Consider the following 15,301-nt stretch of genomic DNA (forward strand, 5'->3'; position numbering starts at 1 on the left):
AAATCTTGGCCTAACCCAAGATCAAAAGTTTTCTCCTATGTTTTATAGCTTTTGGTTTTACATTTAGTCTGTGATCCACTTTGAGTAAATATTTTTATATGCTTCAAGTTATAGATCCAGATGCACTTTTGCACATGGCGACTCAGTTATTCCTTTCTCCACTGAGTTGTCTTTGCACCTTTGTAAAATATCAATTGACTGTATACATGTGGGTTTATTTCTGAGCCCTTTCTTCTGTTCCATTGATCTGTTTGTCTGTCATGACAGAACACTACCTTGTCTTGATTATTATAGCTTTATAATAAGTCTTAGAGTCAGATTAGAAAAGTCCTCTCACATTTCACATTTTTCTATTAACTTTTATTCTTGTGCTCCACTTTTATTCCCCGCCCCCCACCACCGCCCATAGCAGCCTCTCTAATGTGTTAATGTGTATTTTTGTTTGCACAGGTTCTTGCAAAATGTGTGGTGTTGTTTCGTCTATGTGTATTTTTAAATTTATGTAAATGGTATTATGTAAATATATTACATTTCTCAGTCTGTTTCTTACAAAACAGAGTATTTAGTGGAAAATTAAGATCTACCCATGTTGCTATATGTATATTCAATCTGTAGCTTTTAACTGCAGCCTAGTATTTTGTAATGAGAATCTGCCATGGGTTTCTTGTTCTATCAGTGATGGACACTCAGGTTCCCTTCAACTTTCTGCTGCTACCACCACCTCCCAAGCCCGTGAGCATGTGGGCACACAAACACATACGTACACAGAGTTAAACAACAATGCTGCTGCAGTGAACATCTCTAATTGCTCCCTGGGCTGTGGGCAGTTTCTTAGGCAACTTAAGTATATCCATACCCTATAAATCCAGCAATTCCCCCCATGGGTGTGTATCTCAAAATAGTTCTAGATGATGTCCAGGATGGGGACACCAGTCCTCATTCTCTCCTGCATGGTGTGAGGGGGTACTATTTCCATATGCATCTTACACATACATACTCACACTTCCCATTAGCCAGCTTTTTATTTTTTTGTCAGGCTAATAGCTATAAAATGAGAGCTTGTTGTGATGCAGGATTTTTCTTGACCCCTTTGCTGAGGTTGCAGCAGGGAGTGCCTTATCTACTCAGCTTGCCAGGCCCCATCTGGCTTGTGTTACAGCCCATGGCTCACAAGGCCACTGCGACTGTATGCTCAGCCCCTGGCGGGAGGGAGCATGTGACCGAGTGAATGCAGGGTCCAGCCAGCTGCACTGAGCCATGACACAGGAACAGGCTCTGTGTGGGGCCCACAGCCAGATCAGGTGTGTCACCCCAAGGAGACTGTGGCAGCACCCAGGCAGGGGTGCCTGAAGCCCCAGAGAGGGGTGTTACAGTGTGCTAAATAGCTCTTTTATCTCCACCATCTGCAGCCTGATGGACAGCGGCATGTTGGCAGCTCAGGCGGCCCCTTTCTCCACTCTGGCCCGTGGCTCCTGGACCAGCTTGGCCCTGCTGCAGCTTCTGTTCTGTGGGGCAGCTGCCCTCCACCAGTGAGGGTAGAGGGCCAGCGTTACAGCCTTTGTGGGTGCCCACATTTGGTGGGTCCTGAGCTCTTGTTCTGCATCCAAGAAGAATGAGGTCATGCTGACAGTTGAAGGGTGATGAGGATGGAGAATTTTATTGACGATGAAACAGCTCTCAGTGGAGAGGGATTGAGAAGGTGGGGTTGTCTATCTCAGTGTGGCTGAGTCTAGGGGGTTTTATAGGCACAGGATTGGGGAGGGGCGGGCTGTAGGTAGTATTAGAAAAGGCAACATTTGATTGGTTAAAAAGCATTATTCAGAAAGAACCAATCAGGAAAGGGTGGGCAAACAGGAACAGAAGTTCTCACCCTGGTTTGAGGGGTTTCATCCCAAACCAGCAGTCCAGGCTGTTTTTGGCTTGAAGGTGGGGTTTCACTGGGGACCCACCCCCATCTGCCTAGGAAATTGTCTGCCTCCTGCCGCTTTCAATTGTTTTACTCTACATTGTTTTCTGATGACTAATGATTTTGAGAACCTCTTCATATGCTTGTTACCATTTGGGGGTTACTATTTGTGAATTGCTTTTTAATATCCTTTGCCAATTTTTGAGAATTTTTAGTGCTCTCTTTTTTTAGTTGGTTTGTGGGTGTTTATATAAAATCTAGACATTAATTGCTTGTCAGTTTTGATATTGCAAATATCTCCTCTCATTCTGCCATCTGTATACTGACTTCTTGCATGAGATCCATGATGTCTGTGGGCAGAAATCTTATATTTTGGTGTAATAAGATTTATCTTTTTTCCCTCTGCCTTATAATTTTGTGCATTTGAAAATTTATTTGATAAGTCCTCTCCCCACCCTGCTACAAAAATATACTCCCTTTTCTTTTGTTAACTTTATAGTTAGATAGATTTAAGACCTAAATGTGAAAGGTCCCTTTTGGTATGTAGTGTTAGGCAGGATGTTAGTCTCCAAAGATAGCCCCCAATGAACCATGACTCCCAATATTCACACCCTGCATAGTTCTCACCCATGTTGAATCTGGGATGGCCCAGTATGACCAGTCAAATATGGCAGAAATGTCACCATGTGACTTTGTTTTGATACAGTGTCTTGCTCTGTCGCCCAGGCTGGAGTGCAGTGGTGCAATCATAGCTCATTGCAGCCTTGACCTCCTGGGCTCAAGTGATCCTCCTGCCTCAGCTCCCCCAGGTAGTCACCATGCCTGGATAATGTTTTAAATTTTTTACAGAGACAGGACATTTCTATGTTGCCAGGCTGGTCTCAAATTCTTGGGCTCAAATGTTGGGCCTTGGCCTCCCAAGTGTGGGATTCCAGGTGTGAGCCACCACATCCAGCTATAACTTCTAAGACTAAGCCAAAGAAACTCTGGGAACTGTTAATCATTCTCCAGCCACGTGAGTGAGACTCTTGGATGCTCAGACCTGCCAAACCTTCAGATGACTTCAGCCCCAGGAGACATCTGACTTCAATCCCACGTGAGGCCCCAAGTGAGACCAGTCAACCCGTGGAAGCATGAGAAATCATAATTTTTGTTTTAAGCCACTCAGCATGATGATTTGTTCTGCAGCAATAGGAACAAATGGCAGGAACAAAATTTGGTGCCTGAAAGTGGAATGTTGCTATAAAAGCAACCTAAAATGTGTAGCGTTAGGTTGAGAATGGGTGGTGAGAGACGGTGGAAGGAAAGACTTAAGGACAGCAAGAAGTATTCACCTTCCATCCAGGAGGCAGAAAGCCTTGCTATCATACTTAACAATGAGAAAAGACTGCATGCACTACAAAGTCATCACTTTTCTTGAGCTCACCAGGGAGGTGAGCTCACAGGGCAACCAAGTATCCTGAATTCCAAGGGGGCAGGTCCCTCCAAGGAGAGGCAGGATGTGCAGTCTGGCTCACTTGGGCAGTGCTTGGAGGAAGGGGCAGCCTCCATTAAAGTGGGTAAGAAGAAAGAAATCAGTTCAGTTTTAACAAATTGTTGGAAGCCAGGTGTGGGCTGGCGTGTCGGTCTGAGACAGCAGGGGGCCCAGACAAGGTGAGAGTTTGCACACACTAACTGCTTCCTCTCTGTGCATGCTCTCAGAGTGCTCATCCGGTGAGGGAGTGGGGAAGGATGAGGGAAGGAGAGGGACCCACTCAGTAGTGTGGGGGCTGAAGGGGCTGTTTTTGCTGTGGGAAAAGCGCCCAACCCCCTGTCCTAAGCCCCCTGTTCAGTGGAGCAAAAGCCTTAAGCCACAGGCTGAGGGCCAACAAACCCTGTCACTCCCAGGCACGCACAGCCCCATGGTGGCTCATTTCTGGTAGGAGAACCCCCCTACCCTTGGGGGAGGTCCAGGAAACCGTACTGGGACCAAGATCCTATGTTAATATCATTCCAGGTCAGCTGCCTCTGGGGCAGAGTGGGAAGCTCTCCCATGAAGGACCTGCCCCGGATATAAGGCAGGGTCCACTGCACTGAAGCGGATGGGTGGGAAGGCTGAGAAAGCTCCACAGCCCCGGGCAGCAGAGAGCCTACACTTACCTCCTCACCACAAACCTGGTAGTGGGCAGCCAGCCTGGTAGTCACCACCGGGAGAAGGGCAAGAGTATGGAAAATATGAAGAAAGACACCTCCTTCCTGTGGGGCCACTGGGGATATGGCAATTACTATCACAATGAGAGACCGCTGTACACCTCCAGAATGACTGGATAAAAGGCCACCTGACCCTACCATGTGCTGATGAGGAGGTGGCATCGCTGGAACTCTCATGCTTTGTTGGTGGACATGAAAAATGCTTCAGCCACTTTTTTTTTTTTTTTTAGTGCAGTTAAATTTTACATATATTTTGTGGTTATTTGACTAGTGTCTGCTGTGTTAGCTTCTTAGGGCTGCCACAACAAATTATCACAAACTTGGTGGCTTATTCTCTCACCATCCTGGAGGCCAGAAGTCTGAATGGAGGCGTCAGCAGGGCCATGCTTCTCCCAAGGGCTCTAGGGAAAAGTCCTTCCTCACCTCTTCCAGCTGCCGGTAGCTCCTGGAGTTCCTTGGCTTGTGGCAGCATCACTCCTATCTCTGCCTCTGTCTTCACATGGCCTCCTTCTCTGTGTCTCTACATCTTTTTCTTCCATGTCCAGAACCCAGGAGCACATTCTTCACTGAAATCATTCTCTGCTGCAGCTTTTGGAATCCGGTCACTCTTGAAAACACCAAAGGCCACTGGAGCCTACAGCTGCCCATCATGTCAAGATCTGCTGGTATCACGGTAGCACTCAGCAGTGGCAGCCCATTGCTTCAGCTCCTGGAAGAACAAAAGGCCATCTGCTGAGTCAGAGGTCCCACCAGAAGCCAAGTCAGCCACTTCTGAAAACCATTTGGCAATTTCAATTTCTTATGAAGTAGAACAGACACTTACCTATGTATCAGCAACCCCACTCCAAGAGAAATGAAGACACGTCCACACAAAAGCCTGTGTGCTAATGTTCATGTTTGTGGCAGCTGTGCTTGAAAACAATCCAGATGTCCATCAACAGGTGAATGAATACACAATGTCGTATGTCCATAAACCGGAATACTAATCAGCAATATAAAGAAATGAACTACTGACACCTTTGACTACATGGGTGGATATCAAAAGCATTATGCTGGGAGTAACAGCACAGAAGACTATGTGCTATATTATTCTTTTTCTTTTTTGGTGGGGCGGGAGGGGGGAACAGAGTTTCTCTCTTGTTGCCCAGGCTGGAGTGCAATGGCATGATCTCAGCTCACTGCAACCTCCCCATCCTGGGTTCAAGTGATTCTCCTGCCTCAGCCTCCTGAGTAGCTGGGATTACAGGCATGCGCCACCACGCCTGGCTAATTTTTGTATTTTTAGTAGAGACGGGGTTTTGCCAAGTTGGCCAGGCTGGTCTTAAGCTACTGACCTCAGGTGATCCACCCACCTCGGCCTCCCAAAGTGCTGAGATTACAGGCGCGAGCCACTGTGCCTGGCCTATATTATTCTTTTTATACGACATTCTGAAAACCACAAAACTAGGTATAGGGAGAGAAGAGATTAGTGATTGCAAGGGGCAGGAAGGGGTGGGGGGGAAGGAGTTGACTACAGAGGGGCACAAGGGAAATTAAAACATTCTGTGTATCTTGATTGTAGCGTGATCACATGACTAGATGCCTTTGTCAAAAAGATGCATATGTAAATTATATCTCAATAAACCTGACTTAAAAAACAAAGCCAATCTACCATGTTAAGTCTGCAGATAATTATTACCACTGGGGAGTTAGTGCTAGAAAGAGACTATGAATGGGTTTCTGGTAGTACCCTGTGTCTTCATCTGGCAAAGTTGGTCTTTGGGTGTATACGTCTGTCAGTCTGCAAAAATTCTTCAAGCTGAATCCCTATGAATTATGTACTGTTATATATGTAATATTTCAATAAAAAGTTTTTTAAAAGACAGTGAGGAAAATATTATTGGAAAAAAAGAAGATTCAAGAACAAGTAGGAACACTCTTTCTTCAGTAACCTGGAAGAGAAGAATGGTACCCACTGAACTCATGCTTGGCTTCTAGCAGCCTAGAATACCATTGAGAAGAGGGAGAGCAATGAGCTAAAAAGAGGGCCTTGGACAGTCTTCTAAGTTAGCAAATGATTCTCAAGGTAAGAAGTGGCTTCATGGTAAAGGTCAACTCAAGGGGAAAGCTGTAAGACTCCTGTTATGACCTTAGAAAGATTTAAGACTCTGTCTTACAGATACTTTCAGGTAAACAATAGGGCTTCTAAGAATCTGCTTGATGTGCTTCCTAGACCAACTTTGCCAGGCAAGAGGGCTGTTAAAGACCTTAAGAATTTTGTTCCTCAGCACCCTGACTCTTGGACCAAGGTACACAGGGGCCTCTCTTCAAGAGATTTGTGGCTGTAATTTTTGTCCGATAGAAGGAACCTCAATAAGGTCTATAGGAACCTCACAAAACTTTTAGTAGAATTGTATTGGTACTGGCACTACCAACTTGAACTAAAGACAGAGACAATTCAAAACAAAAAGAGTCCACTGTACCTCCTACCTTTCAGAATCAGACTGAAAAGCTACTCCACTTCAAACATGGACATATCTAAAAGAAAAGATAAGTCAGATTTCAGAGATAAGAGCTTGGCTGTTTGAGCCAAGAGCTATAATCACTTCCAGGGAGCAGGACTGGGCTATCACTGGGGAACTGGCAACATGTGCCCTGCTGGATTTTAGAATTACCATGGGCCCAAAACTGCTATGTGCCCTCTTCCTTTTCTTTTTTCTTTTGAACAGGAGTGTTCAAGTTGTCTGGGGCCCCATGTTGTGCTGAAGCAGCCTCAACTTCCCTCTTTTGATGCCTCTGTCTGTCAGGATGGGCTGGATAATGCTGCAATAACAAGTAACCCCCAATCTCAGTGGCTCAACACAACAAAAATTTCTTTTTTTCTCTTATAACATGTTCAATACAGGTAGACAGAGGGACTCTATGCCTTGTAGTTACACAGGAACCCAGGCTGATGGAGGTTTCATCTCTCATATTTTTCCATAATCGCTGCAAAAGTGGGGTGAGATTGTGGGGGGTTAGCAGCAGTGGATCTTAAGTTTTAGCTCACATGGCTGTGCCTAGCTTCAAAGAGAGTGGGGAAGTGCAAATCTACCATGTGCCCGAAAGCAGAGTGCTGGAATTCTGCATTTGATGAATTACATGAAGGACTTTCATAGGGACCCACTATCCCTGTGATGAAGCACCTAGTGAAATCAGCTGCTGGCCCAGGTAGAAAGAGAAGTCACCCTTTAGGCTACACATCCTGGGACTGGGGACCTGGGCCATGTGAAGCTGTAGGGTGTGGCCTGGTCTAGGGAAACTATTGTGCCTCAAGGGACCTCTGGGCCACCCTAGTAGAGTCTAGAGGCTGGTAATATCTGGATTTCTTTGGGCCATCTCCTGATCATCCCATTCTACCCCCCAGAATTTTGCCTCTCCATTAAAATAATTCAATAGTCACCTCTTCCGAGGGGCAGGGGCAGACCCAGAATTTTGTATGAGCCTGATGCTTAATGGAATTTTGGACACTTTCTCTAAGAGGAAGAACACAAATTACAAAAACAAATTAAAGTACAAATATAAATATTTACTTAGAAGGAGAAAGGAATTAACAACAAATTGCAAATTCAAAAGAACTATTACAAACATCACAAAGTTCAGAAAAATAATATTTTTATGAGCTGGCTGACACACCTGTACCAGTTTTCCTTTCCTACCATTTTGGCTACATTTTCATGGCCTGTTCATATGATGATGATTTGGCATTAGCACTTCTAAAGAGAGAATAGGATGGTAAATTTTGATAATCATGCTAGAAGGAAGACTGATTATTTTTATTATTGATAGTTTGAATGAGTAAATTTGATGGCACACACATATGTGCTTGCTGGTTGGGCCTAATGAAGGATGAAATTCTGATACATTCTTTTTTGTGCAATTAAAAAAAGTGATAGTGTATTTATCATTGAATATGTTACATTATTAGGAATATTTCTTGGCCAGGCACATGCTGTAATCCTAGCACTTTGGGAGGCTGAGGTAGGTAGATTACTTGAGGTCAGGAGGTCAAAACCAGCTTCGCCAACATGGTGAAGCCCTGCCTTTAACAAAAATACAAAAATTAGTCAGGCGTGGTGGCGGGTGCCTGTAATCCCAACTACCTGGGAGACCGAGCCAGGAGAACTGCTTGAACCCAGAAGGTGGACGTCGCAGTGAGCCAAGATCTCACCACTGCACTCCAGCCTGGGCGACAGAGTGAGAACCTGTTTAAAAAAAAAAAAAAAGAATATTCCTAATAAGAGGGACCATCTATTTTGACTAGGTATTGATGAAAATGAAACTGTCTGCTGAGAAATATTGCACACCTGATAACTGGGAGAATTTTCCAGAGGTCTGATGCCAGCTCTGTACATATGGAGCCTTGTTTCCCTGCATTACCCATCTTTCTCTGCCAGAGGCCATGGGACATATCTTATAAGTGTGTATATTCCTAGAAGGCACTTCTATAACCATGATGGCTAGCAACAACTTACTTAGATATGGTAGTGACAGAGAATGGCATAAATGTATCCCTCTAAACCCAAATGAAGTGTATCCTCAACACACCTGGCCCTCTACCAGATCTGTAAACACGCCCGGCATCTACTCTGATACCACCCAACGGGAGGGGTGTGACATGGGGAAAGTTGGAGTGGAAAAACAAACTGGGCCTGACCTATTCACTGGGCCTACACTGAAAATATCTTTCTTTAGAAAATTTTGCAAAAACATATGACCATGTTGGCTCCTGGGTGGGACCCATTCAGGTGAAAACCCCTGAGGCTCAGGCTTTATTTGCTTCCCAGGAATCCCACTCCTGCCTGGGAGCCTTCACTGCTGAACCTGCCCGATTCCTGCCCACCCTATAGGTCTCTTTCCTCAGTGCTTCATTTCCTTTTTCCCTTGCTCCTGAAGGGTGAAGAATGACACATCTTTGAATCCCCTGGGGCATCTGGAAATCTGCCCTGCACTTAATACCTTCTCAACAAATGTTTCCCAAATTCATGTTTGTGTATTTCTGCGGGGAGCTGAGATAGCTACTCAGCACCATGTAAACTGTATTCAAGAAATATTGTTCAACAGTGACAACCCTGAAACGCTAACATTTATGTAGTATAATCTTTTGCCAGGTCCCACGCTAAGGATCTAAAAAGGTTTGTAAAAGCTTTGTTTCAAATCATAGAAGGAGCATGTGCTGATAGTAAAAAAAGAAAGAAAAAAAAGGGTGGGCCCATATGGTTGGTATAAAGAGAAAGGTAAAAATCCCCTCTGCCACCCCGCTCTGTACCCACCCCAGGTCGCCAGGCGGAGGTCACCACAGCCTCTGGAGGCAGCGTCTGCCCTGAGGTCTGGCTCTTCTGCTTGCTTAATTGTGGGATCTTGAGCAAGTTACTTAACCTTTTGCAATATCAGTGTCCTCAACTGTAAAATGGGGATAATAACAATAGCAGCCTTGTGGGAGGTTGTAATGATTAAATGAGACATTTCATGTTGAGTGTCTGGCAGTGCCCCCTGTATCCTCTCAACCCCACCCTGAACATGACCTTCAAGAGCAAGACTTTGCCCTCTCTGCCTGGGGAGGCTCCCTGCCCATCGAAGATGCTCTGCCCACAAGCTGGACAGGCTGCAGATGACAGGGAGTTAATACCCTACTCTCAACCAATGTAGGATGGGGGTTGGTGGATACGTATCCACTTCCTTATCCCTTGGTGGAAGGATTCTGGTGTGTTTACACCGTCGCTCCGAGGGTCCCCAGCAGGACTGAGTGATAACCTGCTCGTTCGTGCTTGCTTACTCGGCTCTCCTCCCTCCCCATCTAACCTGCTGTTTTTTTTTTTCTTAATTCAAGGTTGTCCTTTTGTTATTGGTTTGTAGAATTACAACCCTTTGTTGATTATCTATGTTGTAAATATTTTCTCCGAATCTCATTTACTTTTTAGCTTAGTGACATAAAGAAATGTTTAGTTCTTAGATAGCCCAGTCTGCCTGACTTTTCCTTTACAGTTTCTAGACTTATGTCTTGCTTAGGAAGGACTTTCTCACCTCAAGATTAACAAATAGCTGTGTCTCTATTGCCTCTTAGTACTTTTTCAGTTGGTAAAAAGTTGGTAAAAGATTTGTTAATCTCTTTGGAATTTACTTTTGGCTATGATGTGAGAAATAATAAGAATAAGAAAAGTAACAATTATTTTATTTCCAAATAGATAAACAATAATCTCATACTATTTTTTAAATACAAAGAATAGGCCATCCTTTCGCCACTGATTGGAAATGCTACTTTTGTAATATACTAATTTCCCATAATCCCCATAGCTTGGTTTCTGGGTTCTTTGTTCTGTTCCTTTGATCCACCGACTCCATCCTGTTTTAATTTCTCTAGCTTTATAGTTCATTTTGATATCTGGTACATCAAGTCCAATCTCATTTTTCTTCTTCAAAATGTTCTTGCCTATTCCTGCTTGTTTACTCTTTCAGATGAGCTTGAAAATCAGCTTGTCAAGTTCCATAAAAATCCCTTTAGGATTCTGATTGTGAATGCATTGAATTTATAGATTTAATTTGGGAAGAATTGACATCTTCATATTATCGGGTCTTTCCATCTTGGAGTGTGATATATCACCCCATTTATTCAGGCCTTCTCTATGCCCTTCAGTAAAGTTTTACTGTGTTCCTCATGCAGGACTTGGACATGTCTTGTTCAGTTTATTCTTAGGTGTTTTATAGTCAGCGTTGGCTGCTATGCACGGGATGATTGCTTCATTACATTTCTAATTGGCCTTTGCAGGTATATAGGAGAAGTGTGGATTTTGATGTGGTATCTTGTCTCCAGTCATGCTGATAAACTCTCTATTTAGTTCTAATATTTGTCAATGGATTAGAAAAACTTTGAACCAGTCATGCTGTCGCACACAGGATGGGCCTCCAGGGAAGGGGCAAGGAGCTCCGCAGTCCTGATGGCCGCTATTGAATCCACGGATCCTGTTAGGGCTGCTGTAGAGACTGCCGTGCATATGGTTCAGAGCTTTGGACAAGACAGCCTTTAGATCCTTTCCCATTCTAAGCTTCTAACATTCACAATTCCGGTGCCTGTCTGCTTCATGCACTATCTCCCAGTTGCATAACGACCAAAGCCAAGTTCCCTTCCTTCCCTCCCTCCTTCCTTTCCTTCCTCAACTATACTTTGGTTTCTACCTGCCAAGCTGTGTCAGGTTCTGGGAAGGTGGGGAGGGAGAGATCACGATGATTGCTGCAGAGATAAGTGCTCCACACCCTTGGGATGCAAATGATGTTACTTAAATCGCCTCAGACTAGAATGTGGTAGAACCCCCGTGCCCCGCCATGGGCTGGATATACAATCTACACTTGGGGGGCTACCCCGCCTCCTACCCCACCTCCCTAAGTGGTTCATGAACCCTAGGGTTTGCCCGATCCCAAAGGAGGGCTTCCACTCTCAAGGAACCCAGAGCCACGCCGCCTCTCCCCACTGCTGTCCTTGCCTTTGCCGCGCAGGGTGCCGCCATCAGGTCCTGTTGTGCTTCTGCTCAGGGAAAGTCTCCCAGGCTCCTGCCCAGGGGTGGCAGCTCCCTGAGCTGCCAGCCTTCTATGCAGGTGCCCCCAGGGAGGGCCCCTATCCCTCGGCAACCAAGACTGCTCCTCAGGGGCCCTCTCGGCAGTTCTCCCAGGGCATCTGCCCCACAGCCCGTAGATCAGGACAGCAGGGTCAGGCTCCTGCCTCATGAACCTTGAAACTGGCCCCTCTGGTCCCCTTCCTGGGCCCACAGAACTGCCCAGGGCTGCTGGTCCCCTCCCTGCACCCCCGGCTGTTTCCACCCATCTCTCACAGGGGGCTGTGATGATTGCCCATCAGAAGGGCCCAGAGTGGTGGCTTTCCATCAGGGTGGTAGTGAATTTTTTCCCCCAGGGGACAGTTGGCAAGGTTTGGTTGTCACACTGGGGATGGCAGTGCTGCTGTCATCTAGTGAGTGCCAACCAAGGAAGCTGCTGAACATCCTATAGTGCATGGGACAGCCCCTCACAAGGAAGAGCTGTTCAGCCCCAAATACCAATAGTCCTGAGGGTGGGGCCCTGGTCCACTGTAGCACTGGCCAATAGAAATATAATGGGAACCACAAATGCAGGCTCCGCATGTGAGTTTACACTTCCCGATAGCTACTTTTTTTTTTTGACATGGAGTTTCACTCTTGTTCCCAGGCTGAGGTGCAATGACACAATCTCGGCTCACTGCAACCTCCGCCTCCTGCATTCCAGCGATTCTCCTGCCTAGGCCTCCTGAGTAGCTGGGATTACAGGCATGCGCCACCAGCCCTGGCTAATTTTGTATTTTTAGTAGAGACAGGGTTTCTCCATGTTGGTCAGGCTGGTCCCGAACTCCCGACCTCAGGTGATCCACCCACCTTGGCCTCCCAAAGTGCTGGGATTACAGGCATGAGCCACCGCGACTGGCCAGATAGCTACATTCTTAAAGAGTAAAGAGAAATATATGAAATTGCTTTTAATTTACTGCATGTTATTTAATCCCAATATATCCAAAATGTTATGATTTCAACAAGTAATTGATATAAAATTGAGCTGTTACATTCTCTTTTTTCATATAAGTCTTCAGAATCCACTATGTATTTTACCCTATGGCACACCTTAATTTGAACACTAAATTTTTATTGGAAACACTTGATCCGCATTTATTTTTCGTAAAATTTATGGTTGAAAAAGTAGATTTACATGTCAAATTGTTTATCAGTGTTTAAATGTAAATTAAAATGAATTGAAATTAAATAAAATATCAAAATAAATTCCTCAGTCACAGGGCATATTTCAGGTTCTTAGTGGCCACAAGTCACTAGTGGCTACCCTATTGGGCAGCACAGGTCTAGACATCAGAAATGGTAAGTTCCAGTTTCCTCCTTAGGGAGGCAGAACCTGCCACCTCTTCCTCTCTGATGGGCCAGACTGCCTTCCCGTCAGAGAAGGGCAGAAGGAGCTTTTGGCAATAGTGGTAGAGACTCAACACATGACTTCAGTTCTTAGTGTGTCCCTGCCATGCTGAGAACCAGTGTCTTCTCTCAGGGACCTTCTGATCTAGGGAAGGAGATGATCACACCAATGCTACAGGTGACAAGTGCTCTAACAGAGGCCGTGAGGCCAGGCTGCAGTGGAGTGACAACAACTCTACACATGGGAAGCACTCACATTGGAGGGGGTGCTTAGAGTAAGCTTGAAGATTCATTAGGAGCTGGCCAGGCAGAGGCAAGATTGGGCGGGGGGGATGACCCGGATGGGCACCCGGGCAGAGAAGGTGGCTGAGCAAAGGCCAGCCAGTCTGCGAGGTTGTGGCGTGCTCCTCTAAGTGAAGACCTGAGAGCACTGAAGAGGTTGGAGAGGCTCATGGCGACAGGCTCTGCATGGTTCTGTGTAGGTTCCCCTGGGGAGCCCAGTTCCCAGCTCTGCTCCATGAAGGAAGTAGACTTGGACTTGGCCCAACTTGCTTTCCGCCTTCCCTGCAACACTTCTGTCCACCAGAAGGGGGCAGGGCCACCTCAGGAAACGAGACCCATTCTGTGGGGGGCTCAGTCAAGGTTCAGTCCTGAGTTAGGTGAGACCTTTCAATCCTCAGTGGACAGGTACTGAGCTTCAGGCCCCGTGCTGGGACCTGGGTGCACTAAGACGAGCCCCACCCCTTGCAGCCTGTGTCCGCAGTGTCCCAGGCCGAAGGGATTGTGGGGGTTTCAAGGAGGCAGTGGGCAGCTCTGCCTAGGGGGAGGCCGGAGGAAAATGAGGACCAGCTCCCTAGAGGAGGCAACTCTTAAGCTGAAGCAAGAGAAGAAGTTGCCTTCTCGGCTGACAGGGTTGTGAGGTGTGCCACTCTGAGGGGGCACAGCAAGCGGCATGGAGGTGTGACCGCGGGCATGTCTGGTTGCTGGCTATGTCCTGGATCCTAGAGCACAGGGTGCAAGGGGCTGGGGTGACTGGCCATGGCTCGTGGGGGGCCCTGGAGCCACATGCATGAACTCCATTCTGGTGCAGCAGGGAGAACAGACAGAATTTCCTTTTTAAAAAACAAAAAAAAAATTTCTTATGAAAACTATCAAATAGGCACCAAGTACAGAGAAGAGTTCATGGACCCCCATGTACCCAGCACCTGGCACCAACAGAGATCTACCAGCTTCTCATCCATTCTCCCTCCACATTTGTACAAACCTTTTATAGATAGAAATTGTTAAACATACCAAAGAAGGGAGACTGGCATAACGATCCCCACAGACGCACCAGCCAGCTCCACCAGGAAGTTTCCAGGCTGGTCTCGGCCGCCCACTCCTTCCCACCCTCAGATTATTCTGAAGCAAATCACATAGCATTTTATATTTAAATATTTCAGTGTATATCTCTAAAAATGAGAGACTCTTTAAAAACACAGGCTTGCACTACTATGATAACACCTGAACAATGTGCACACCATTGTTTTTTCTTGTTTTTTTTTTTTGAGATGGAGTCTCTCTCTGTCACCCAGGCTGGAGTGCAGTGGCACAATATCGGCTCACTGCAAGCTCCACCTCCCAGGTTCACGCCTCACGAGTAGCTGGGACTACAGGCACCTGCTACTACCCCCGGCTAATTTTTTGTATTTTTAGTACAGACGGGGTTTCACCACGTTAGCCAGGATGGTCTTGATCTCCTGACCTCGTGATCCTCCCGCCTCGGCCTCCCAAAGTGCTGGGATTACAGGCGTGAGCCACCGCGCCCAGCCTATGCATGTCATTCTTTCACTTCATGCCATACCAGGACTGACAGATTTCAAGCCCAGGAATGGCCAGGTTCAGATTGGCATTGCAGGAGGGTTGCCCTGGCAGGGAGTGGAGGAGGAAGCTGGGGGAGAAGGGGTGAGGCAGGGCGTCAGCAGGAAACTTTGATGAGGGTCTGGGGGAGAAGCAGTGGGGACGTGGACTTAGCTAAGCCTGAGCTGTGGAGGGAGGAGGTGTGGAAAGCTTACCAAGTGCCAGACACTCTGCACACAGTCTTAATTAATCCTCACAAATGCCCCACGAAGGCGATTCTATTATCTCCCCCTTTTACAGACAAAGAGACTATGGCTCAGAGAGACTAAATCGCTCAGAGTGACATAGCAGAAATAACAGAGCAAAGTTGCAGCACTGGGCTTCAAACAGGCTGGGTGGTCCCGCAGCTCCGAAG

At 46.3% G+C, this 15,301-nt stretch overlaps 3 annotated features.

The window, feature by feature from the left end:
• Nucleotides 3,544-3,633: a silencer, noted in NCBI's record as "silent region_2456". NCBI's record gives its function as "represses an Ori minimal core promoter by ATAC-STARR-seq in GM12878 lymphoblastoid cells {active_cell/tissue: GM12878}" and the evidence as "EXISTENCE:reporter gene assay evidence [ECO:0000049][PMID:35858748]".
• Nucleotides 3,644-3,693: a silencer, noted in NCBI's record as "silent region_2457". NCBI's record gives its function as "represses an Ori minimal core promoter by ATAC-STARR-seq in GM12878 lymphoblastoid cells {active_cell/tissue: GM12878}" and the evidence as "EXISTENCE:reporter gene assay evidence [ECO:0000049][PMID:35858748]".
• Nucleotides 13,758-14,306: an enhancer, noted in NCBI's record as "H3K4me1 hESC enhancer chr10:72663371-72663919 (GRCh37/hg19 assembly coordinates)". NCBI's record gives its function as "activates a minimal SCP1, AML or CMV promoter by ChIP-STARR-seq in primed H9 embryonic stem cells {active_cell/tissue: H9 hESC(primed)}" and the evidence as "EXISTENCE:reporter gene assay evidence [ECO:0000049][PMID:30033119]".

Source organism: Homo sapiens, chromosome 10 (genome assembly GCF_000001405.40).
Source record: "Homo sapiens chromosome 10, GRCh38.p14 Primary Assembly".
NCBI lineage: Eukaryota > Metazoa > Chordata > Mammalia > Primates > Hominidae > Homo > Homo sapiens.